The sequence below is a fragment of the Homo sapiens genome, chromosome 5 (assembly GCF_000001405.40).
Source record: "Homo sapiens chromosome 5, GRCh38.p14 Primary Assembly".
Lineage (NCBI taxonomy): Eukaryota > Metazoa > Chordata > Mammalia > Primates > Hominidae > Homo > Homo sapiens.
The window spans coordinates 91,840,375-91,867,259 of NC_000005.10; the positions used below are offsets into that span (position 1 = coordinate 91,840,375).

Here is a 26,885-nt window from a genome sequence, read left to right on the forward strand (position 1 = left end):
ATGCTTTAAAAAGAGTTCAAGGACATTAAAACTACTCTATTGACTCAGATGTGTGTGCAAGTGTGTGTATGTGTGTAAGGGTACATGTAACCATCCTAATTCCAGTCAAGGAGACAAGATTACGGAATCACTTTTGTAGTTTTTCATTTAAAAAACCCCCCTTTTTTCCAATAAAACAGAAATTGTTACAGTTAAAACCTGTTAATTGGAGATAATGTCTGTGTAACTGAGCATTGTCCAAGGGTAATGACCTCCTGCTGTTAAGCCCTGAAAATGTTGACAGGAAGCCAACACATTTGTTTTCAAAGCAGGAGACATAGGTCCTTTGACACGATTCTATTAAAATGGCTTTATTTTTGTTGCACTACGTAATAGACAGAAATCTAATCATTCTAGTTCATATTATCAATGCGCTCCCATTTTTCTACTTCCAAATATCTTTGTAGGTTATGTTTTCACTGCTACTAAATGCACCAATTAGCACCTTTGCTGCTGCTGAGTAGCTGATCTCATAATAATACAGTCAGTGTAAGTTAATTCGGTAGGTTGTCAAAAAGCACTGAAATGAGTTAGTATTCATTAAGGTATGCCACTCAATACAATGTAATAATCAATGCTTTATAATTCATTGTAGCTGAGGAAAGAGGTTGGGTAATTTATAAAGAAATAGTGACAAGGGTTCCCCACTTCCCTGCCCCTAATTCTTACACACTCCATTTGGCTAATGTTTGAAATTTCATTTGTCTAATGGATAAAATTTCACTTAAAAATATTCTTCTGGGTTGATTGAGATTTTTATCAGTAAGAACAAAGGATCTAAGAACTGGTTTCCTTATGGGATTAGATGTACATGAAGGAGTGTTAACCTGAGGTAGGGAAAGAGGAGATCTTAAAGTATTAAAGCATCCGTAATGTGAGGATTGGAGGAGCTTAGAACCAATTCTGAATACTCTTCAGAGACAACCTAGGTGGTGGCTGCTGAACCACTTGCATTATGATTGTGTGGAAAGAATAATTGCAATGATTCTTTTTCTGGCTATAGAGGGAAACTTTTGTCATATTTTAAAAATACTTACATTAATGTCCTGGCCCTATCCTCAGTGATTTTTAATTCAGTTGTTTTAGGATAGGGCCCTGGTAGTCACAGCAATATTTTTTAAACTCAATAGGTGATTCTAATTCATAGCCAGAGTCTTCTGCTCTGTGGTTCTGAGAGTCACCAGGAGGGCCTGTTGAAACACAGTGGGCTGCACCCCTTACCCCTCCAAAGAGCTTCTGATACAGTGAGTCTAAGGAACAGCCAGAGAATTTGCATTTCTAACAAGTTCCCAGGTGGTGCTGATGCTGCACTAGAATGTATAGGAAGCCATTTAAATTATGTCAACTTAGTCATTTCTTTATTCCTGATGACTTTCAAAGGAAGAAAAGGGAAGACTCAAGACAGCAAGAGTCAAGTAGCGGCCAAGTTAAGACTGTGTTTTCCTATTTTAGACCACTGTGTTGTGGTAGTTCTAAAATAGCTTTTTGATTTCTTTCAAGTTTTCCATTTCTCTGGTTTACTTAAAATTTGTTATTTCTAAACACATAGTTTTTTTTAAATAATAACTTTATAGCTAATACTTATTGAAAATTCAGTTACCATCAGGATCCGACCTAAATGTTATGTATTACCTCATTTAATCTTCACCACTTAAACAGATGCTCTTATTATCATAATCAGTATTTACTTTCTTAAGGTCACACAGCTAATAGGTAGTAGATTTGGAATTGTAATACAAGCAAACTGACTCTACAGCCTAAAACCTTAATTTCTCTGTACTGCTTCCGCATACCTAATGATTTATGAAACATGATCTTACAACTCTGTGGGGCTAAGTATATCACTGTTTATTATCAAATTATTCTTGATGACAGAGTAATGATAAAATAACCCCCATTTATTGAGTGCCTACTTAGGGCCATGCACTATGTTAAGCACTACTATCAAATTCCCAAGTGTTTAAGGGATGAGACAATTAAGTGGTGAAATTAGGGTTTAAATTTATGCTTTCTGGTGGGTGTTGGAGTTCTGCCCCCGAAAAGGAACCATTTAGGTTCCTGATAACATTCCAGTTTCAGATTCAAAATTCTGAAAAAATGTAGCTATGCTCCTAACAATATTGCTGTATAATTCTGGCAAATTTACTTTTGCCTGAGAATGTCTGATATGGTTTCTGTTACAGTTAAAAAAAAAAGCTTTGATTAAAATGGTGGTCATTTTGATGTATGAATATGAGGTCCCTGAGGCTTGGAGAGTTGAAGAGTTTAAATGACTTTAACTAAGATCACCCAAACTAAACAACGGAAGTAGGAATAGATAACTTTCAGGCTTATTTTCTTTCTGCTGCAACAATTTACTCCTCATGTCTGGTTTTGCACCTTTTCTTAGATCACCTGTTTGAGAAGATCACAGTACAGACCATAAATCCTTAATTTTTTTTTCCATAGTGCATTTCTGAGTGGTGGCCCAATGAGTCTTATGAGCAGACAGGAATGGCTGCTGCTAGTGTGTTTTCAAGAGTCATGCATAGCCCTCCAGGAATCATTGTCTAGACCTCACCAGCTTGTTGTTAAGAGACAAATAAAATAGCAGATTCCAAGTGCCTGGCACATAGGAAACACAAGGTTCAGTAAATGGTGGCGATTACTGTATTGTCCTAATGGCAATAGGAGGAGGGAAGTGAGAGGGAAGAGCAAAGCTCTGTACTAACTCAGATGACTCCCTGGTTTCAAAGATATCATTTGAGTATAGAAAATATTTGGTTTGTATGTAAAGAAAAATGAACTTTTCAAAAGTCAGTATCAGTCATTTTTACAGCTCGTGTTTATGAGGTTTATCAACTCATATCAACAGGTTCCAATCAATTTGACTTGCGCATGCTGCGTGCATACTGAGACGCAGGTGATGTGCAGATTTATTGTTGGAGAGCTGTTTCCAGTAACTTAGAGCCAAGAAACATTGTTAGAATCATGTAGAGGGGTGGAACTATGTATACAAAATGCTCAGGCACAGGAGACATTTATTTTTCTGTCTATTGTTCTGTCTGTCTATATCTATCCTCTTTCTCTCTCTCTGGCTAAATTAACTTTCTAATTTTTTAAAGGAATTAAAAGCTTTAATTAAAAAATCTTGAGTGGATAATAAAGTGTAGAAATAGAACATTTACAAACAATTTAAAACCTGGAATCACTGACTGTTCAGGAACTACACAGAAGGATCATGAATGGTGGTGAACAGCAGAAAGAAATTATGGATGAATCTACATTATTTTAGCTGCTCCCCATGCCACCTGTCTCAGAGGAAAGCCTGACATTTATTAGATATTGAACCAGACTAATGCTGGCAGCAGATCCAGCGATTGTAACCTGCCTATCAGTAGATCCTTCCACTGGGTTCAAATTTTGATCTGCACCCCAGACTTCTGAGGGATCTCCTTGATTTTGGTGCCTTGATGTCTGAAATTATTCAGCCAATCAAATCAATTGGAATGGTGAGTTCATGAGAAGTAGTTGGAGCAGATGCATTCAAACCTGCACTGTATCCAGTGTTGCCATGAGTCATGGGAAAATAAGCCTGTTGCATTGCCTACTGGTGCAGCTTGGTCAACTCTAGAGGTGATCCCTCCAGATAAGCACAGAAGCACATGGACAGGGTGGTGTGGGGAAAGTTCGCACTGTTGCTGCTTGTGATGTACTTGTCCTTACCACCTGCAAAGATGACCAGAGAACTCAATAATAGCTTGGGCTGGTAAGGAATAGTCATGCCCTTCCGGGGTTACTGGGAGAGTCTCCAGCATGTCTACGCATGTCTGTTTGACACACTCAATTGTGGATTACAGAATGTTAGCAATAGTGATGGCCCACTCAGTTGAGTTGGGAGCATATCCTCTGTCAGCTGCACCTGAGCCTCTACACTGTCTCATATTTCCTTGATTTTGCAACCACCTTTTCCAATAAGAGGGCCACACTGACTAAGATGACCAAGGGTCTACTGGCACCCGTGCTATTGGTTATAGAGCTGCTGATGTCCTCTTCCAGTTTGTCAATTATCATAGTAAGCCTTTGAAGATGGCATTAGTGAGTCCAGCCAAAGTGATAACTCTCTCAGGACAATTTTCTAATTTCTTTTTTGAAAAACATCCATTTGCAAATTTGGGGGCATTACCCTATATGACACTAGATGGTATAAGTGAATTTAACATAAATTATCTATGTTATTAGATATTACTTAACTGTGACTGCATGCATCACAATGCTGTGTTTACCTGATAAACCACCACCGAGCCCAGTTAATTAATTAATTTATTTTTTTGAGACAAAACTCCATTGTCCAGGTTGGAGTGCAGTAGCGCCATCTCGGCTCGCTGCAACCTCTGCCTCCAGGTTCAAGCAATTCTCCTGCCTCAGCCTCCTGAGTAGCTGGGATTAGAAAGGTGTGTGCCACCATGCCCGGCTATTTTTTGTAGTTTTAGTAGAGATGGGGTTCCACCATGTTGGCCAGGCTGATCTCGAACTCCTGGACTCAAGTGATCTGCCTGCCTCGGCCTCCCAAAGTGCTGGGATTATAGGCATGACCCACCGTGCCCGGCCCTAATTTTGTATTTTCAGTAGAGACGGGGTTTCACGATGTTGGCCAGGCTGGTCTCGAACTTCTAACCTCAGGAGATCCACCTACCTTGGTCTCACAAAGTGCTGGGATTATAGGCATGAGCCACCACGCCCAGCCTAGTGTTTATGTTTTGACTTTTATTGTTTGTCACCTATTCATCTTGATCATGCTATTTCTTATCCCAACATTTGGCATATCAGTTCTAACACAGTCTTGATATGTAACCTCTTTAAAAATATATACATGTAGGCTGGGCACGGTGGCTCACCCCTGAAATCCCAACACTTTGGGAGGCCGAGGTGGGCGGATCGCTTGAGGCCAGGAGTTCAAGACCAGCCTGGCCAGCATGGCGAAACCCCGTCTCTACTAAAAATACAAAAATTAGCTGGGCCTGGTGGCACGTGCCTGTAATCCCAGCTACTCAGTAGGCTGAGGCAGGAGAATTGCTTGAACCTGGAGGCAGAGCTTGCAGTGAGCTGAGATCACGCCACTGCACTCCAACCCGGGCAACAGAGCAAGACTTTGTCTTAAAAAAAAAAAAAAAATACACACACACACAGACACACACACACACACACACACACACACACACACACACACACGTAGATGTAGAGAAGCCTGCCCCAGAAAAGATTTTAAAAATAAAATTATGAAAATAGGACAAATGTTAAAAGTGAATTCAAAATTTAACTACTATTAGGATTTTAATGTTACCCACTCCAGTTATTTAGAAACAATTTAAAATGTATACTTAAACACATCCATATTATGTTGCATCAATAAATACTTATTTTAAGTATTATAACTGTCTTCATTCCTTTTAATTTTTTTTGAGAAAGAATCTCGTTCTGTCGCCCAGACTGGAGTGCAGTGGTGCCATCTCTGCTCACTGCAAACTCCACCTCTTGGGTTCAAGCAATTCTCCTGCCTCAATCTCCCGAGTAGCTGGGATTATAGGAGCTCCCCATCACACCTGGCTAATTTTTGTATTTTTTTTAGTAGAGACGGAGTTTCGCCGTGTTAGCCAGGTTGTTCTCGAACTCCTGACCTCAGGTGATCCATCTGCCTCGGCCTCCCACAATGCTGGGATTACAGGTGTGAGCCACCGTGCCCAGCCTGTCTTCATTCTTTAACAGTAATTACAATTAATATTCTAAACACAGCCATAAATTTTATCTAGTGGATCAGTGATAATATACTAAAACCTTCCCCCACTATTAGACATTGGGGTGCTTTAAATTGTTCATAGTGTAATGCTATACCTTATATTTAACTTTTTCAGTATTTTGGCTGATTTCATTAGGCTAGATTCCAGGGACTGGGAATGCCTTTGACAAGGTATTTGTCAAATTGCTTTCTAGAAGAGTTATACTCATTTCTGTTGTCATCAAGAATGAATGGGATGGTAAGTTCACTGTACTTTCACCAGCATGTTAGATATTTATTTACTTATTTATTTTTGTAGTTCCATATGTCAAATGGTACTTGCTTTAATCTACGTTTTCTGGCTACAAGAAAGTTCTTACATTTTCAAATCTGTGTTTGATAATTCTGTTTCCTTTAAATGTCAATTATATGTTTAAACTCTTGTCCATGTATCTGTCATATTATTAGTGACTTTTCTATCAGAAGTTTGAATGCTTCACATGCATCTTTCACATGCATAAAAATAAAATCAAGTAATTAAACCAATACTACATTTGTTGGAAAATTTCTCAGTTTAACTTTTAAATTTTTTTATATTCACATTTTAAATGTTATGGTACCATTTACTGATATTTTCCTTTGTGCATTCTTTACGTATTCAAAGCATTGAAAATTATTTCTTTGTTAGAGGTTTGATAAATATTCAATATAATTTTCTTTTTACTTTGACTTAATTTTCAGTAAAATTTACTTTTTAACACATCTGGAATTTGTTTCAGGGTATGATGTGAAGTGAATACGTTTGAATTTTAAATAATTTACTATGCTGTGACCCAGCTGCCTGATTTCCCGTACAAGTTGCCAAGTGCCCACTGAAAGAAGAATGTTCTTATATTTTGTGTTCTTTGAGATAATATTGGTTACTTTATTAAGCATGCTAGAGGTTTTTTTTTCTTTTTTTTTTTTTTTTACTGAGAAACCTATGCCTCACTTCGTTTGTTTTCAAAAAGTTGAATGATCAGAAGGGTATAATTTAATAAAATATTATTTTGTATATTTTGTGTTTACCCTATTTATTACGAGAGTACACTTTAACAAACTACTGCAGGTACTTTCGGATTTTCAGAAGTATTTTAGCCTACAATTGTTAATATATGTATTTTTTAATGTTCTAGGTGAACTTAGATATAAAAACCTGAGTTTGAAGTATGTCCCAATGACTGATTCATTATGTGATTTTATGCAAAGTTTAATCTTCTGAGTCTCTGTTTTCTCTCCAGACAATAGGGATAATGCAACCTACATTATGAGACAATGGTAATAATTAAATGAGAAAATGTATGTTAAATGATCAGAAGATGGCCTGATAAAGAAGAAACCTCACAGATGCATTATTTTCTTTTCATTTTTATATGGAATAGGCTATTGGTCATCTGAACTGGTGAAAGAGAACAAATGTTCCTAGTAAATTCCACAGGGACAACTTTTGACTTTGAAATATGTCTCCTTTGAATTTTGAATATAGTTATTTCTGATCTTCAGGGAATTTAAACAACATAATGAAATTATAGAGCTAATACCTAATTCTAGACTCTTCTAATTTTTTCTTGGGTTCAACTACAAGCTAAAAAAAGAGAACTCATTTTAAAACTTCCCTAAGGCAGAAATGATGGTAAGTGTTTGAACTTCAAAGGGTTTGCCTAGTCAGATGAGGACTGTATGCTTAGTAAAAGTAAACAGATAGGAAAGAGACCAATAAGAACAGTAATTAAATAAAGTATGTAGCTCAAATATCTAATTATGCTATTTGCCTTAAAAAATCTACGTGGGATTTCTGTTTAGTTGTCTATTAATATGATTTTAGAGACATGAGAAAGACTCCTGTAACAATCTATCCAGCTTGCCACCCATAAAATCTGAAACATATACCTGTATTATAACACGTCTCACTGTGTCCAATGATGTTTTTAATAATTTGTAGCCTGTTAAACAGGGCTTTATAAAGACAGAGGACAGGTCTTGTACTTCTTTGCACTGATCCTGATGATCATTAGGATACTCTATAAAAGTTTCATGTCAGAAATTCTGTATTCCTATGTTTAGAGCTTTTGTGTCATTGTGCATGAGATTATAATTATTGTTGTCTAAAACTTTATATAATGATAGGATCTTGGACAAGGATGTGTCAGGTTGGGGCCTGGGGGAGGACAAGAACATAAGAGACTAGATACTTAAACAATAATGAAGCAAATAAGATGATTTAGCTCAATTCTTTAAAAAGCAGAGCCTGAGGTAAGGATTAAGATGCTATGATTTTATTTAGAAGATTCAAGCCCACTGAAGTATAAATGAAAAACAGAAGCAAAGCGAGGACGCCGCAGAGAAATTTAATGCCTTATGTCACAACACTGGTCACCATTGCATGATGAGTCACTAAGAGATACTGCCAGATGCATAGTGAATGTGTTCACACAACACATAGAACTTCTTTGGAAGTGTGGTAAGAATGAGTCATTCCTAGAAGAGGGAAAGGAGGAGAAATGTGTCTTCCCAGCTTTCTCCCATCTCAAGTTACCTATTGGTCAAATCTTATGCAGAGTGTTTTACCCCTACACTGATGGCTTGTATAATCTGGCTTGTCAGTACCATTCAGAGAGATCCCTTGTATTATGGCCTTTTCATCCAAGTCCAAAGGTAAACCAGTGACCTAATATGAATGAGGACTTGACCAGAAAAGAGAGAGAAGAAAAGGTGGTCAAGAGAATCTGAGAAAGCATACAAAGTTTGTTTCCTAAAACATAAGAGATGTGGACATTAAGGAAGTTGGGAGCATTGAAAACTACAGTTATAGGGTGATAAAAGTGATACTCTTCTGCTGTATTGGTCAGGTCAGGGGTTGCTATATGCAAAACAAATGCACCCCAAATTACGGTGGTTTACATCACTGAGAACTCTATTTCTTGCTTATGTCTCTGTTAAGTATGGGTTGAGGGAACTCGCATTCCTTTGACTTAGTGACTCTGCCATTTCTAGGATTCCTAGGATCCAAAATGCCTCCAATGCATCCTCTGCATCTGGCTACCAGGCCAGAGAAAATAATGAGAGCATGGGGGGTTGCCTGGGGATTTTTTTATGTGCCTTATTGTGAAACATCCCACAGCCCCACCTAACAGCAGGGGAGACTGAGGAATGTAGTCTACTGGTACGTCCAGAAGGAAAAAAGGAGGGCTTGTGAACAGTTAGTAGTTTGTGTCAGATATCCTAACCATGTTAAGTTTTTGCTGTAGGAGAATGTTTCATAGTAGTGGTATATTTTGACCTTTAATCTACTTAAGTAATGCAGTAAAGACTCATTTTAATCAGATGCCACTCTTTTGCCCTCTGCATCAAATTTTTCAGATTTTAAAAATGTTTTCCCATAACATCACCATCTTGCTTTTCCTTTTTCTGGAAAAATGTAACTAACTTGATAATCAATTCTACTCTAGCTTCCAAGACAAAACTTAACCTTAGAGTATTTATATGACAATCTGTGGAGGTACTTACAGAATCAGCCCTCCAGACTTACAGAAGCTGGGCTTCCCAAATGAAACTACTACTTTCCAATGCCTGGACTCATAATCCTTGCAAGGTAATTTAGCAAACTTTATATAAGGTATACTTTAGCCTGAGACTTTTCACAGTCACTGCACTCCTTGATAATTTCACCCCTAACTTTTCTCTCAATGAAAAGGCAATTTACTGACTTTCACCAGGAAGATTACCTTTCTTATCCTTCTGTCATTGCCTGTAAAAGACAGCTGGGAACAAAATGGTGAGGCAATTAATAATGTTCTTCTTAATTTCTCTCTTCACAGAATCCTGGTACAACAACTGCCTATAAACACTTGCCAAGTCTGAGATCAAGCTACTAATTGAAGTAGTCACAATAGGAGGTGTCTTCACTATAAAAATGTATGAAAATTTTGAGTATATTTACTGTGAGAATGCTTTGCAAAGACTTCACAGAAAAGTATTTCACATTGTAATAGTCCTGGAGCATGAGTCATCAGGCAGTAATCAAGTTGTCTTTTTGAATCAGAATGAAGACCATCAATGTCAAGTTAGTGTTTTTATGTCATGAATGGAATGAGGGAGAGATACCATAGCTATCTTTTCAGAGAGAATCGGATATACTTTCCTGATACACTTGGGACACCGTAATCCTTGGCACAGGTTACATCCATGTTCTCAAAAAGGAGTTTGCATTATTTTTGCAGAATGCGCTCATGGGTCTCGTATTAAAGTCTGTTCTGCTGTGGAGATACATCCAGAAGTTCAGCATAAATACACTGATTTTCAAAAACCTAGGAATTATCCTGCTTATACCTTTTATTACCTGGAAAAATTACTTCAAGTAATTGGATCTTGGTTTCCTCATTTGTAAAATGAAAATATTGTTATTTACACCATATGGATATTAAAAAGATTGATAAGATAACATATATGAGAATGATCAGCAGAGTGTCTGGCATGGATACTTTGCCTTAAAAGTATTGAAATGATATTTGAAGTTTGATATTGTTGATGCTGATCGACTGCCTGTTTCACTGCATTTGGTCTCTCTGGTCTTCTCTGGGATTGCCATCAAGAATTTTAAAATTTATCCTTGGTCTGAACAGAGAGAAAGAAATTCATATGACATATTTTTGCTTTTGGTCTGAACTTACAGATTAACACTTTCCTTCTAGACACATATCCATGTTTTTGAAGAGGTTCTCATCTCTAAATGAATTCTTTCCTAATTGTGTTTGTGTGTTATACCCTGATCTCCTGATCCTGTTCTTCACTGTGGCTGCTAAATTCTAAAATTTCTGGTATGGGAGTCCTTCCTTATCAGCACAGGATATGTTCCAAAACTCTCAGTGGATGCCTGAAACTGTGACTAGTACCCAACCCTATATATACTATAATTTTTCCTATATATATGTACCTATGATAAAGTTTAATTTATAAATTAGGCACAGTAAGAGATTAACACAGTAACTCATAATAAAATAAAGCAATTATAACAATATATTGCAATAAAAATTATGTGAATGTGGTCTCTCTCTTTTAAAATACTTTAGTATTTTTGGACTGAGGTTGACTGTGGGTAACTGAAACCACAGAAAGCAAAATCATGGGTAAGTGGGGAATGCTGTATAACTCATTCTGCAAACTCTCTAAACCCTTGCTTGCATCTCACTAAGAAATTTTAAAACAACTTTCCTTGCAAAAGTGAGAGCACAGCTAATAATGAAGGCAAAATAAAATAAAAGGTACACAGCCCAGTCCTAAGCTATAGATAAGCAAGGCATCTAATTATTAATCTGATGTGAAATGATACTGGCCCCTAAAGATCCTGTTATGGGTATTTTATGGATCATGTTGAAACTAGTGTTCTTGCTGCTTATTTTTCCTCCTGATGAGGAGAGAAGCAAAAATAATCACATGCTACGGCTTTGTGAAGAACTTGAAGGGAAAGTAAAAAATGAGTTCTTCTCATTTTTTTCCTTCTAGATTCTAATTCTTTTCACATTTAACTGGGGAATCAGTGAAATTCAGCCCTTTTGACTCTTCATAAATGTGGGATAAGTGGTGAAAACAGAACATCATGATGAGAGACTCCAGACCTAGATTATTTAATTAGTGTTTTGTCTTTGGCAAAGCCTTAAATCTCTATGTTTCCGAGTTTTCTCACTTATTAAATGGAGTAAGTAATAGCTTCCTTACATCACTGGGATATTTTGAGAATAGATAAAATGATGAATGTCAAAATTCTTTTGTAAAAAGCAAAATGTTATTTTTAGACAAATATAAAATGTTGCAAATAAGTGATACTCTCCCCCCTCTCTATTATACTGACGCTAACATATTCAATTATAAATATCAGCATAACTTAATTTTATAAAACTTAATATAAATAAAAATCTTATGGAAAATGCACATTATTTTTTCTCACTGTAGTTGTCCATGACACTTGTCAAATTATTATCTCGGCACAACTTTAACTTATTAACCAGGCACATTGTAATTCTTCGTCAATGTGCTTACTGTGGAAATTTACTTAGAGCAATTTGATAAAGAGCTGTGCTAATTCAATTATTGAATTTCATGCTTTATATTTAAAGTCTATAAACAAAAATTACAAAAACGTACTTAAGTTATTGCATGCAGTACTTTAATGCTCTGAATAGCATTTGTGCTTGAGATTGGTAGGCAGCATATTTAAGTGATGTGCTCACGAAAGTGAAATATTCAAAACAGCTTTTATGAAAATCTCCCATCTGGCAGTTACAATTGATCAGAAATCTACTCTTCAGCATTATTTTGAATATAGCATGCATTTTTAATTAAAACTGTTCATTCGATTTATTAATGTAAGTAAAACCTCCCATCTGATCATGTTTAACTTGAGAAAGTGGTTTTCTAAAACCCCTTTTATGAATTGAATGATACAATTTTCAAGAAGGAATAGTTATAAAAGATGTCAGATATTTATTTGCTATTAATCGTTTTTGTCCTTAATTTCACAATTGATCTATGAACATGCTTGCTTAAAAATATTTGATGAATTCATGGTCTTAATTCTTATATTATTTTAAATCTAAGTGAGCTCCAAAGGATCTAAGATAAAAATCTTTAATAAATCATGTTAAGGGATACTTTATGTTAGTTAAATTAAGTTTTAATGGACAAGATATAAGCAGATTATTAAGGTTAAAATTTCTCACAGTGAGAAATAAAAGCAAACTATCAAATGCTTTTATTCAGTTGCTATGTTCATGACGTACATTATCAAAATTAATCCTTTTAAAAATCCTGTTTCTCAGCAAAAGGATTTCAGGTCAGGCAACTGGACTTCGAATCACAGGCATTTCATCCCTGCCCTGCTTGTCTTGGCTATGGGAGGTTTATAAGGACGGCTCTGCTGGATTCTCTCCAGGAAGCTCTGTACCTGGATTAGATGCCGTGATAATTCCCAGACATGGTTGCTTGTCAAATGGATTATTAAGGCTATGAACTCATACCTTATAAAAATGGAAAACAAATTTCTTTAACATGTATTCTGGATAATGTCTATATCCTTCATTCTGGATAAATGTCTATATCCTTCATGTTTCACACTGGTTAAACATCATGCCAACCATCTTAGGTTACAAAGTAGGTAATTTCTGTGTTCAGGTACACAATATTATTTCTGATGTGTTAATAGTAATGGCTCTCATTTCTGAGTGAATTTTTAAAATACATAGATAGTTTATTTGTAATTAAGGCCTCTCGATTTGAGAATGGAAGTAAGGAGGCGTGGGAGATATTTCTGCAACCCACTTAGTGATTAATTGGAGCATACCAGGTCACCAGTAAATGAAAGTCAATGGGCTTAATTATTGTCAGCCTTCTTGAATGATTATATTTTATATAAATATAAAAAATATAATACCAATATATATTATATATTTATATATTATAACAAATAGTATATATTCATATATATTATACGATATATATTATATAATATATAAATATAAATATAATCATTCAAGAACTTACAGTTAAGTCCAAAGCCATGACCTTTATGTTTGGCTGTTGTTATTATATTCTTAGCCTCATTTCAGGGGATTTGGGATAATTGTGTTTGGAAGATCTTTCAGGTTATGCCTCTCCTTATAAATAAATCTACAGTCATTAGGTGCAGAGTGTATCTTCCATTGGCACCTTTTACAATTGTATTCTACTGTTCAAGTTTTCCAGTGTGCTTGTTTCATACACAGTCAATATCCATGTTCCCCAGCATGGGAGCTAAAAAAGGTTGAAAACTGGTTCTACCAACAGCTCAGCTTGTAAAACCATGAACGCTGTCTGTGCTGTTTTTCAGCCTATACCTATGATTTGTATGTCTGAAACTTTCACTTACATATTTCTTATCTTACCAACAGCATTTCTCAAAACAGTCTTCTTTATTTCCAGTGACTTATCCAAGAATTGTATTGCTACTGCTGTTTCCAACCTTTTCAACAAAAAATTTTATTAGCTCTAAACATGTTCCTTGAAAATAAATTCCAGAGTGTTGTGTTTTTGGTTACTTATTTAACATTATTTTGAGTTGTAACAAAAATAACTTATTAGAACTTATAAACCTGCATGCAAGACAAAATGAATTTTAAATGTGTAAGAAAGCCAAAGGAAAAGGAGAGTAAAAATTAAAAAAGTAAAATCCAGCCAGCATGAGGTTGGTACATAAAATATTTGCCCTGAAGTTCTATACACGTGCTAAAGGTAGACCACAAATTTGACTTTAAGCTTTTTAGAAACCAATCAAAAGTGGGAAATGTTATCAATATCTCCAAAGTATAAGGAAATGAGTTGCTTTGAAGACACATATTAACTATTCATGAAACCAAGGTTAGGAAACAAATTTTTATACATTTTTATTTTGGAAGAAAGAAAAATTGAAAACATTTTTCACAGAGTAAGGAGTTTCTAAATATTGGGAAATGCTATCTTGCCATGGTACAATCTAATAAAAGGTATTTTTGTGGGAAGGGAGTATTTATAATATGTGATCCAGTCATGGCACCCTTTGATGGTCTAGCTGGTGCAAGAAGAGATTTCAGAATCTCTGAAATTCTGTCGAAGAAGTGAGGAGCAACATCATCTCTGTAAATGGTCCCAAAGCTTCAACTTCAGCTACTTCAAAATAGAACTTCATTTCAGCTTGCATTCCTCTGATACTTCTTGGAAACTGATGGCATCGCTGCTCCTAAGTACAGGGTTCTCCATTCCCTCATCGGTTTTATTAAGAAAATCCTACAACCATGGATAAGAAAGGCTTAGGTAGAGAAGAGTGGAGATTATTATTTATTCATCTCCGTGACTCCAGGGTTGCTAGTGAGATGCAAGGGCACGTAATAGGTGCTAATACATGTTGTTTTCCTACAAGCTCTGAAATTAACTGTTTTAATATAGGTAAATAACTTCACCTATAAAGGAAGGATAATGATACTAACCCTGGTGGAACAAGTTAAATTAATAAACATTGGTTAATAACAAGCACTTAATAAATATTTGCTGGATCAAGGAATGAAGTCTAAAGCACTATGCAATGTAAAAGATGAGAAATTAGTAAATTATCTCAATGCTGCCACAATAAATATTTTAATATTGGATTTCCAAGGCAATATTGAAGAAGATGGTATCATGTTGAATAGAGGAAAATGTATTATTTTGTAGAAGAGTTACATATAGAGATAGATAATTAACTTACCTATAGAGGTAGAATATTAAGTGCTAATATTCTCAGTAACACTATTTTAATAAATAATCTAAAATATAAGAATATGCATTTTTCCCATGAGACGTAATACAGGCATATTTTTATTTTGAATGAGGATAAAAAGCAATTTGCAGAGTTTTTTTTCAATTGCATAGACTTTCCTTCAAAAAATGTATGTTAACATAGATCTAAATTCTAGTATGAATGGACTACATATTCTTGATAATTCTCTCTAAATGTTTTTTCTCTGTACTGAGATTTTGACTGATATCAAGTAATAGGAAGTTTAAGATTATATTACCTAACATAGTAGACGCTGAATAAATTTTGTTCATTAACTGACAGTTGATTAACGAACACTTGATTTCTAAATACACAAATATTTCTAGTATAATCTTACCATCATATAATCATGCTTCTTATTAAATAACTTATCTACCTCTAAATGTAACTCTAATCATGTTTCTTATTAAATAACTTATCTACCTCTAAATGTAACTCTTCTACAAAATAATACATTTTCCTCCATTCAACATGGTACCATCTTTTTCAATATTGCCTTGGAAATCCAGTCCCCAATATTTGTTCTTACATTGTCTTATATTACATAACTTAATGTTAAGCTGTAGATTTCCAAACTGGCCACCATATGTATGATGATACATATAGCTCATCATTTAAGGAGCTATTTGTATGTATATGCTTAATCATAACAACATATACTGTAGTAGTTTTAGTGAACTTTCATCCATGCAAAATACCAACTTGTTTTCTGCTATTGTGCTTCTTCCTGGTCCACCATTTCTGATGTGGGGATTTTTAGAAATTTTGGTTTTATTCTCGAAAAATATATACCTTTTCTTCTAGCTCTTCTGCTATTTTCTTCCTATTCCTCTTAATATAAGTTTTCTAAAAGATATCTACATTTTAAATTTCATTATCTAACATTCTCTTTTTCAATATGATCTCCAGTCTACTACTTTCCAATTTGTGATTTAACAGAAATCAACTCCACCAAATATAATGCAGAAATTATTTCATCTTTTTGAGCCATCTGTATGTTTCTTGACTTTATAATTTCAATTTGAAAATTTTTAATTTTTGTAATTAATTCTATAATTTAAACAATTTAATTTCAATTTAAAAATTGTAGTAAAATTTTTACTTATTTATAACCCTGCCTTATTCAAGAATGATTGTTTAGATATTGAGTTAATCAGGTATTGTGTTTGTTATTAACTTGCTCAGCATTTCCAACTTTTCACCATTCAAGCCTGTGCTATTACATCACTTTCAGGTCCTGCTGTGCTTGCAGGAAGGGGGACATGAAACCAGTTCCACTCAATGAATTATTAGCGAAAGTAACGTGTGTCAATTCGGAGCCTTACCAGAGCAGAATCTTCTAGAGTTATACTCTCTGGTGCAGTAGCTGATAACATTTAAGATGATGGCTCACTGTCAGAACCTCGATCCTTGAATCAGTTCATTGATCAGAGCCCCCCCACCGCTGGTCTCTAATTGTATCCTGAACAAAAATTAACTTTCTTTATTTTAAGCCATTGAGGGATTTTATTTTTCTTTTAAACTACAGCATAACCCAATTTAAAGACACTGATGCAGGGAGTGCTTGGTTTTGAAATTTTCTGGGTGATGTTAAAAAAATATTTGAGATTGCAGCCAGCACTGCCAGTGTTCTACTCAGACCCCTGCAGATCCCATTTACAATCTCTGTACACTATTTTCTCACTTTCCGTGTGTTTTTGCGTCTAACAGCATGCACTTGCAATTCTCTTCAGAGGACTGCCCTCGAGTTACTGGAGCTACTTAGGAGCACATAAGCCAATGATTGACTGACTCATGAAATCCCCGCTTTCTTACATCCGGAGAGGACAATCTTATGATAAACTTACATCCCAGAATTTCCTTGCAAGATCAGTCTGAAGTTACCCTCTGTGGGAGCTTGCCTGAAATCTTCCATTACTTAACTGCTTCTTGTTTCTATACCCTGCATCCCTGACTCCCTTCTAGGTTTCTCCTGGGAAGTCTTTCTTAATAAATCACTTGCATGTGTGGCTTATATTAGAGTCTGTTTCTGGGAAGTCCTATCGAAGACTAGGAAAGGAATATACAATATGTAGTTTCATAATAATGTTGAAGGGAATATGTTTGGCTGAATTTTAAAATACCATGGTATGTAAAAATGACATAAAACTTTAGAAGGTTGATTTTGAACTTTTAATCATTTAAGCCAGGAATTTTGTCATGTTTAACTTGCTGTTCTTCACCAGATCAGAATATATTGCTGCTTAATTTTTCTTAGTAAGACATGCTTTTTATATAACCATTACACCATTTCTCCACTTTAGGTGGTGGATTTTAATTATTCTATCTGTTCATTGTCCTCAAGCATCTTCAGACCCTGGAAAACATAACGAGATATACACGAGATTGGGTCAGAGCCTGTGATCACATAACAGACCATAGCTCACTGGCCACACAAAAGTGAAATCTACCAATTAACTCTCATTACTGTAGTGCTCTAATGAATTGTTGTAATTGACCATTGATGATGATGGCATAGAAAAATAGAGGGGGAAAACACTTCCTTCTTCTCATTATGTTTTGTGGTGTCAGTTCTTAAATGTCCTTAATTTTATTTATCCTTTTGGCCACGATATTCAGGCTGTGGCATACAATTCTGATTTTGATTTTCTCTTTGTTTTACTTCTGAAATTATATTAAGACCCAATTATATATATTTTAGAAGATAAAATGTTTTTGCAATTTATAAATGCAGAATTTCTTTTAAAACAGGATACTTGATCTTCTTCTAGGTTAATAGGGTCCATGTAGACAGAATAGATTACCACAAGTATCCTTTGTTTGAATGTGTATCAACCTCTGAAGAAATAATGAGTATTCTCTTGGAACATGTCTCTTGTCATGAGGTGGAGGTCTTTGAACTATACTTAGTTGGTTAAGCAAAAAAGAAATTGTCAAGATTTCATGTATATTCTAGTGAAATAGAATGCCTAAAAATTTAGTTACCCCTTATCTCTTTATCAGCTGTTCTCTCCATTTTCCCTCCTTAGATTACTTCTTGAGATAACTTATATTTATATTTTATGAGCAAAAATAAAAGTTACAAGCAAATCTTTAGATGCCGTAAATTTTATAGAGATACAAGAGAAACACACCTACCATTTATACCTCTGAGATAGAATCCAAGCTAGACAATTGTATTAGCCCATTTTCACACTGCTACGAAGAATTACCTGAGACTGGGTAATTTATAAAGAAAAGAAGTTTAATTTTTTCATAGTTCCACATGGCCGAGGAGGCCTCAGGAAACTTACAATCATGGTGGAAGGTGAAGGAGAAGCACGAGCCTTCTTCACAAAGTGGAAGGAGAAAGAGAGAGAGCACGAGGGGGGAATTGCCACACTTTTAAACCATCAGATCTCGTGAGAACTCACTATCATGAGAATAGCATGTGGGAAATCCTCCCACATGATCCAGTCACCTCATATCAGGGCCCTCTTTCAACGCGTGGGGATTAGAATTTCACTTGAGATTTGGGTAAAGACACAGAGCCAAACCATATCAACAATAAATGATGTATGTGAGTACAGTAAACACTTGGAAAATAACATGACCTTATTTAATTTAAACATATGCATATATCTTTTGACCCACCCTCTTCACTTTTAGGAATTTTTATAAAATAAAACATAAAACATAAAACATATACAATAGGATTTATTTTACCATCGGTTATAATGGCAAAAACCTGGACATAATCTAGGTATCTGCAAATAGATGAATGGTACATCGTTGCGGAAGTTAAGGTACAATTTTAATTGGGAATATGTTGTAGCTATTAGTATGAATGAGTCATATTAATATATCCTGATCTGAAAATATGCACTTGATATAGAAAAGAGCAGTTGTAGAAAAATGGGTATTACATGAACCAATTTTTGTTAAGAGAAAAATCCCTCCATATTATTATGAGCATGGAGGCATATCTCAAGTAATGCACACTAAAATTTTAACATTGGATAACTCAGAGGTAGCAGAGCTGGGGAAGTGTTGTCTAATAACATTTTAATGTGTTTGTATTATTTAGCATGATACGGCATGGGCACATTTCCTTTGTAACTTTAAAAATGATAAAGTATATAAAGTGTTTTAAAGAAAAGTGAGGAATAAAGATAAATAAATATATCTGCCTCTTTTATTTAGGAAGTTCCTTTATGATAAAATTATTCTTTCTAGGCTAAGTATATCTATTTTTCTCAAAGGTTTCTATTTTTGGCTTTTGACAACAGATTTCATTTGGAGTATATATGTAGAAAGACCCATTTCAGACCTTATTTAAATGCAGCACCCACAGATGTAATATATGATGTAGGAATATGGAACTAGCTATGCAAAGATGGCCAGATAAATTTCTGTTTTCCATGTTATTAGGCAGAGGTTGCTCCTCAACTCTGTGAATCCACATTCAAAGAAATAAAAGAGCACAGATTATCCAAGTGGTTAACTCATAGACAACCCTAATGTTCACCAGTACTTCTGGATCTCTGCTTCATGGGGTCATGCGAAAAAGATTATGACTTTTCATTCCCTTAAAATAGGCAAGGACATCAGAATTACTCTGAATAATGACATGTGAACTCAGATGCTTGGTATTATTTCCAAGTAACAAACTTTCTGTTGTTTATTACCACAGCATAAACTGTTATGCCTGACCGATAACAGTTACTGAACACACTTCAGCTGTCTTTATAACACTTTGATCCTATACACTAGGAGTTGGCAAAGTTTTTGTAAGTAGGAGACCCCATTTTGGAATTACGTATGAAATAAAAAATTTTTTAATTCCATAAAATTCCATTTTCTATCCAATGAGAGTTTGTATAAGGTTGATCGATATAGGTTCATAGCTTGGCTCAGCCAATTACCTGGTAATCTTGTACAAAAACTCCATTTTTCTTGGCCTCAGTTTCCATCAGTAAAATGAAAGTATGCATGCCCATGTCACACGGTTATGTGAATTAAATAACATAACTTGTGTGACCTAGTGCTTTATACATAGTGTGTGTTCAAAAACTGTTAGTCATCTGTATAGGAAATCCTTGTGAAATATTTTAAGTGAACTTGAGAGTAGAGAGAAAGATGGCTTTAGGATAAAAAGAGGGAGGCCATTATTGATATCAGGAATGCCCATTACACCCAATTTGGGTAGCTTTGCCCATTGAGGCTTGGAAAATATTGTAGATGAGTATGCCTCCTTTGGAATCTTAGACGTTTAATTGAGTTTATGATATTTATTCCATCATGGGAGAAAAGCTAAGAATTTCCATCATATAGCCAAAGTAAATCAATTTGCTGAGTTCTACTTAATTCTCTATTTTATTTTAAATTTATTGAAACATAATCCGCTCTCTATTTGAGCCCGTTGTCCATCATCTTCTACCATGCAGGCATTAATCTGAAAGGTAGGCAGAGTATCGTTCTCCTATCTGCTATCTCTCTGCTTCTATACCAGGATAGCATCTACCAAGAGGGATCTGAGCAGATTGCAGAGGAATTGGCACATGCATTCCAGCATGGAAGACCCACACACTGAAATTCTGTAGGTAGAAACAGACCAGAAAAATGCTAGTAGTTCAACTCCCACTTATGAGTGAGAACATGTGGTGTTTGTTTTTCTGTTCCTGTGTTAGTTTGCTGAGAATGATGGCTTCCAGCTTCATCCATGTCAAAGGACATGAACACATTCTTTTTTATGGCTGCATAGTATTCCATGGTATATACGTGCCACATTTTCTTTATCCAGTCTATCATTGATGGACATTTGGATTGGTTCTAAGTCGAACAATGAGAACACATGGACACATGGAGGGGAACATCACACACAGGAGCCTGTCGGGGGTTAGGGAGTAAGGGGAAAGGAGAGCATTAGGACAAATACCTAATGCATGAGAAGCTTAAAACCTAGATGATGGGTTGATAGTCACAGCAAACCACTATGGCACATGTATACCTATGTAACAAACCTGCACATTCTGCACATGCATCCCAGAACTTAAAGAAAAATTTAAAAAAAAATGAAAAAAATATGTTAGCAGTTATACTTGGAAATGGAGTCATTCATGTATATCACTCATTCACATTTCAGACCATGGAGCAATGAGGATAGGAGAGCTATCACCTTAATAAACTGAGCTGCTTATTTAAATAAATTCATGCAAGCCACTGAGAGTTGGGGTTGATGTGCTCAGTAATTTAACTTCCAGCTATGGATCTTGGAAAGGCATCACACTATTACACATTTGGTCAGATTGAGACAAGTCAGACTTAAAGGTTATGATATGGTAACTGAATGATTACTCCAAGGCAAAGTGTTTCTATTCCTTCTCACCAGGAATTAGTTTAGGAACGGCCAAATTCTGGCCATTGATATATGAAAGATAGTCTGGGGGCACTTCTGAAAAACATTCCATCGCTCCATCAGTCTTAAAGAGAGACTTAAGAAAGAGATAGTGTCTGTCTTCCTGTAAATGTTGTCATGTTTGGATATGATGCCTCAATCTACTTAAGTCACTTTATGACTGTGAGTGTATCATTTTGAGGACAAATCTAACACACTGAAATATTTGATGAGATGGCTAAATTTTTTTTTTTTCTTTTGAGACAGAATCTTGCTCTGTTGCCCAGGCTGGAGTGCAATGGCTCGATCTTGGCTCACTGCAACTTCTGCCTCCCGGGTTCAAGTGATTCTCCTGCCTCAACCCCTTGAATAGCTGAGATTACAGGCACACACCACCATGCCCGGCTAATTTTTGTATTTTTAGCAGAGATGGGGTTTCACCATGTTGGTCATGCTGGTCTTAAACTCCTGACCTCGTGATCCGCCCGCCTCGGCCTCCCAAAGTGCTGGGATTACATGAGATGGCTAAACTTCTGATTATACTGATCCTGGAATGGTACTGCTGCTAGAGACTTCTTGTTATATAAAACGATTTTTTTTATTGTTTAAAACATTTGAGTTAAATTTTTTCTTACTTGTGACTTTAGGTTTTTTTAATTTTATTTTGAGATGAAATCTTGCTCTGTCTCCCAGGCTGGAGTGCAGTGGCACAATCTCGGCTCACTGCAACCTCCACCTCCCTGGTTGAAGCGATTCTTCTGCCTCAGGCTCCCAAGTAGCTGAGATTACAAGTGCCCGCCACCATGCCTGGCTAATTTTTGTATTTTCAGTAGAGATGGGGTTTTGCCATGTTGGCCAGGCTGGTCTTGAACTTCTGACCTCAGGTAATCAGCCCGCCTTGGCCTCCCAAAGTGCTGGGATTACAGGCCACTGTGCCCAGCCCACCTTAGGTATTTAAAAGTAATACATAGCTAGATTAAAAAGCTGAATTTAAGATTCATAATTATTGAATAATGAAACAAAATTAATTGAATTTTTAACATGCACTTTTCAAAAGACAGCCAATGATTAATAACACAGATGTAACCTATGCTTTCAGATTTTGCAATTGAGTAATTAAACAATTTATCTGCACTATGACACAGCATCAGTATGCAAGTACATGTCTGACATCATATGAGAAGGATGCCTGACCCAATCTTGTGAGATCAAATAATGCTTTTCAAAAGATAAAACTTCCAGTCTGCCATCAAAATGATGAAGAGATGTTGGCTAAGCATATAGAGGGATAATAGTAAAGACTTTTTTTGGTGTGGCAAATGACAAGAAGTTATTGGCTACTTTGAATGGAAAATCCAGTGGTAGTCTTAGGCCCAGCTACATTGATAGGGTTAAATCATATCATCATGAACAACACGAACAGTTTGGACAACCAGAAAGATGGAATTCCCACTGGAAATGGGAAGGTGAACACAAGTTTTGGTGGAAGTATTAGGAAACTCAATTTTGAATATATTAGTTTTGAGATGCCATTCATATTTTCAGATGGAGAACCTAATGAGATAGTTAGAGATACAAATCTAGAGTTTAGGGAAATTTTCTTGGCTGTAGGTACAAATTTGTGAATTGTTACTGCATTAGTATTGAAGATAGTACTGAAGGCAATGAGGCTGGACAAGATCCCTATAGGAGTAAGGATAGATAGAAAAGGGAAAAAGGTCCAAAGAATGCATTTCTGAGATTCCAACATGGAAGGGTTGGGGAGATAAGAGAAAATATGTAAAGAATATGAAAATGAGCAGCCATAGATGTAGGATAAAAATCAGGAGAACGTTGTCTTGGAAGCAGATATATGTAAATATAAAAGGTGGAGAGAGGTGGCCGGGCATGGTGGCTCATGCTTGTAATCACAGCACTTTGGGAAGCCAAGGCAAGAGGATCACGTAAGCCTAAGAGTTTGAGAATAGCCTGGGCAACATGGTGAGATTGCATCTCTACATAAAATTTAAAAATTAGCTGGATGTGATGGTGTGCGCCTGTGATTCCAGCTACTGGGGAGGCTGTGGCAGGAGGATCACTTGGACCCAGGAGGCTGAGGCTGCAGTGAGCCATGTTCATACCACTGCACTCCAGCTTGGGCAACAGAGTGTGACCCTGTATCAGAAAAATAAATTGCAGAGAGAAGATAAAGATTTCCACAGGGCCCTTCCACTGGCCTGCACCTGTGTCTAGATATTTAGCCTTCTCTCCTGTGTCTGTGGGTGGAATTTACATTTACATATTCTTAGAAAAAGCCATCTCTCCCTTCCTAGAATTTTCCCATCTTCTTTGACCTGGAAAAGAAAAGTTTGACTTAAATAAAGAGGTTATGTTTTATTTGCTAGGTAAAAGTGAGGAGAAAAATGAGCAATACTGTAGGAAAATAAGCAAGCAGTAACGTACTGCTTTTATTTCCTTTTTCCCTAATCCTTCAATCTCAAATTTTGAGGTTGGCTGGGGAACCAAAATCTCTAAAAGGTAATAAGTTGTCCTCCAGATTGTGATCCTCTCCGCTCAGCTTCCATAACTACAGGAGTCTTTGCCATCAAATCATTCTAATCTGCTTACAGATATTAATATTTTTTGTAAAGTTTGATAATTAGAACTTTGGAAAGAAAGCTAAATTTTCATCTCCTTGCTTTCATCATAATGTGGTCATGTAACCTCACATAATATATCGATGTATATGAGCTATAGCCAGTGAACAAAAGTCTAGTAATTAGGAGAGCTGAATCCCATACTTGGATGGGTCATTAACAAGATTTCAAATACGGAAGCAAGTAAGCTTTGAATTCTAGAACTCACACTCCCAATCAGTACTCAAACTGGCTCTTGGACTCTTCTGATGAAAAAATGAACATATGTGCAAAGTGATTTGACAACGTTAAAAGCATTGTGCATGTAATAAGTACAGTCATCTATTTGCTTTCTTATTTCAAAGATAAACCAGGAACATCTGGACACCCTTACACCCTGGGTACCCTGTTAAAGACTCCCTTCTAAAGGGGTGTGTGTGTGTGTGTGTGTGTGTGTGCCTTTGTAACTGTGTATATGTATAAAACCCTAGTTGTTTTGGATTGATCTGTTAAACCTATTTAGAAAATGTGTTTCTTTCTTAAGCACCCATTGGCCTTATTGTCACTAGATGGCAGAAACAGATCCTACTTCTGTGGGAAAATGAGAGTTCATTTTGCATTCGGGAAGGGCACAAAAAAGCTTCCCACAGACAATGTTTACAGGCTTTCTTTATTTTGACATTTCTTCTGAATACATTAATGTTTTTGGAAATTCCCTGTTAGGTCCCCTGCAGGGGTATACTGCAAAGTGATCTTGGCTTACACAGGAAGAAGAATGGCTTGCATTCTGCATTTCAGTTTATAATTTTAGAATGAATACTACTTTATTTAAGGGCAGGGGAGAGTGGGAAGGAGGTGGAGTTAAATGCTAAGAAAAATCAAGAAGCTGTGTCACATTACTAAAGCACTGCTGCTGTAATATTTCATCTGAGCCAGAGATGACTTTACTATAATTCATTCTCTTTAGGGTAAGAGTAGTTGACAGTCAAAGTGTCCCATATAAATATACTGTAAAATTCTCTATGTAAATTTTTGTGCTGCAATTTTTTTCTCTTTCTTCTTTTTTCCAAATCAGTTATTGCTTCAGAGCACTATTAGTTTCTCATACAATTAAATGACTGAGATAGTACTTATTTAAAAAGCCAACCCGATGCTCCAGAGGCTTTTTGAACAATGTTTTTTCACTGCCCAAACAATCATTGATCTTCAGCTTCTTTGTACACATGCTGATAATGGTCTTCTTTAACAATACCTAAATAGAAATGGCTTAATTCAGAGAAAACCATTACAATGTGTTGAGGCTGCAATTGTGGATAAACAATTATGCTCGATGTGTGTGCTTCCATGTATCTTCAAAAACACTTTAAAAATAATCCCATCTTTTAAAAATTACTTTTGTTCCTCTTAGAAAATATTTTTATGTCCATTGGGATCATTTCTGGTCCATGAAAAGGACAGTTTTAGCATTGTATTTACTTGCTTAAAATGCAATTTAAAAATATATGTTTCATGTATTTGTGGCTGTGGGAATTCCAAAGCCACAGGAAGAAATGCTTGGTGAACTCATTTGCATACCAATACCCAGAATGCTTTTCCAGCTCACTGCTATTTAATCTAAGTCAGCTGGTGTCAGAGCTCTGGGAACAAACTGAATGATTTTGACATGCTTCTCTGTGCATGTTCTGAGTTCTTTTTCTGCACTGGGTACACAATGAACACTCAAAATTTCATCTCTACTATAAATTTTTTAGAAAAGACTTGGATACTTTTAAATATTTATTTTCTTTTCAATTTTTCTTTAACCCTTTCTATGAAATGTTATTCTAATTATTACTGTAATAAAGTTCTAATTGATAAACGAGTCTAGAACTACTGATTACCTGGAATACATGTTAACTTGAATAACTTGTGACTCAGAACACAAATGGAAGAATTGGAAGAACACATTCATCCATTTTGAAAAAGGTCAAGTTGGAGAGAATAGGATACATTTGGGAAAATCTGCAGATTTGGTGGCTGAGAGCTGATGGTGTCTTATCAATGTCAAAGATTTAGCTGATCTATACTTTTAATGTATTAAGGTGTGGTGATGGCACTGCAGATATGTTTCTTAAGGGTACTTAATGTTTTTGAGATGCATTTGGAAATGTTTACAGATTAAATGAGATGCTATCCAGGATTTGCTTTAAATAACATGGGAGAGGAAGAAGTAAATGGGAGTGTAGATGAAATAAAATTGCCATTTGTTTATACTTGTTGAATCTGGATAATGGATATGTGGAGCTTCATTATATTCTGTCTACTCTAGTAATTTTTGAAAATGTTCTGTAATAAAGATTTTTGAAAGGAGAAATAAAAAATATATCACAAGGTACCTGAGCATTTGAGTTTAGTCTATACTTTCCTTCCAAAAATGGTTTGATTATCTCCTTAGGCATTTTAACACACATATATCTATGTGAAAGAAAATTTGTCAATTAATAGATAAGAAAAAAGAATACGTGCAAATTTCTCTTGATTTCTGCCCTCCTTCCGTCTGCTTCTGTTTGTTACTCTGTCTTTCCTGGATCTGTAATCATGTTCTCTCTTCTAGCTACTGTTCAGTGGTATTAAAACGGTCTCTTTCATCTTACACAAATTGTTTTGACTTTATGTTCTCTTCTTAATACTCTCTCTCCTTCTTTCAGAAGGTTCTTTAAAGATTATCTATACTTTCTCTGTTCTCATCTTACCCTACCA

The 26,885-nt window shown here is 35.7% G+C and overlaps 1 pseudogene, besides 1 other annotated feature; it reads right to left on the reverse strand.

Moving 5' to 3' along the window:
- On the reverse strand, window positions 3,140-4,158 carry PCBP2P3 (PCBP2 pseudogene 3; annotated as a pseudogene).
- Window positions 8,178-8,472: a silencer, noted in NCBI's record as "tiled region #1264; HepG2 Repressive non-DNase unmatched - State 24:Quies". NCBI's record gives its function as "represses a minimal TATA promoter and a strong SV40 promoter by Sharpr-MPRA in HepG2 cells {active_cell/tissue: HepG2}" and the evidence as "EXISTENCE:reporter gene assay evidence [ECO:0000049][PMID:27701403]".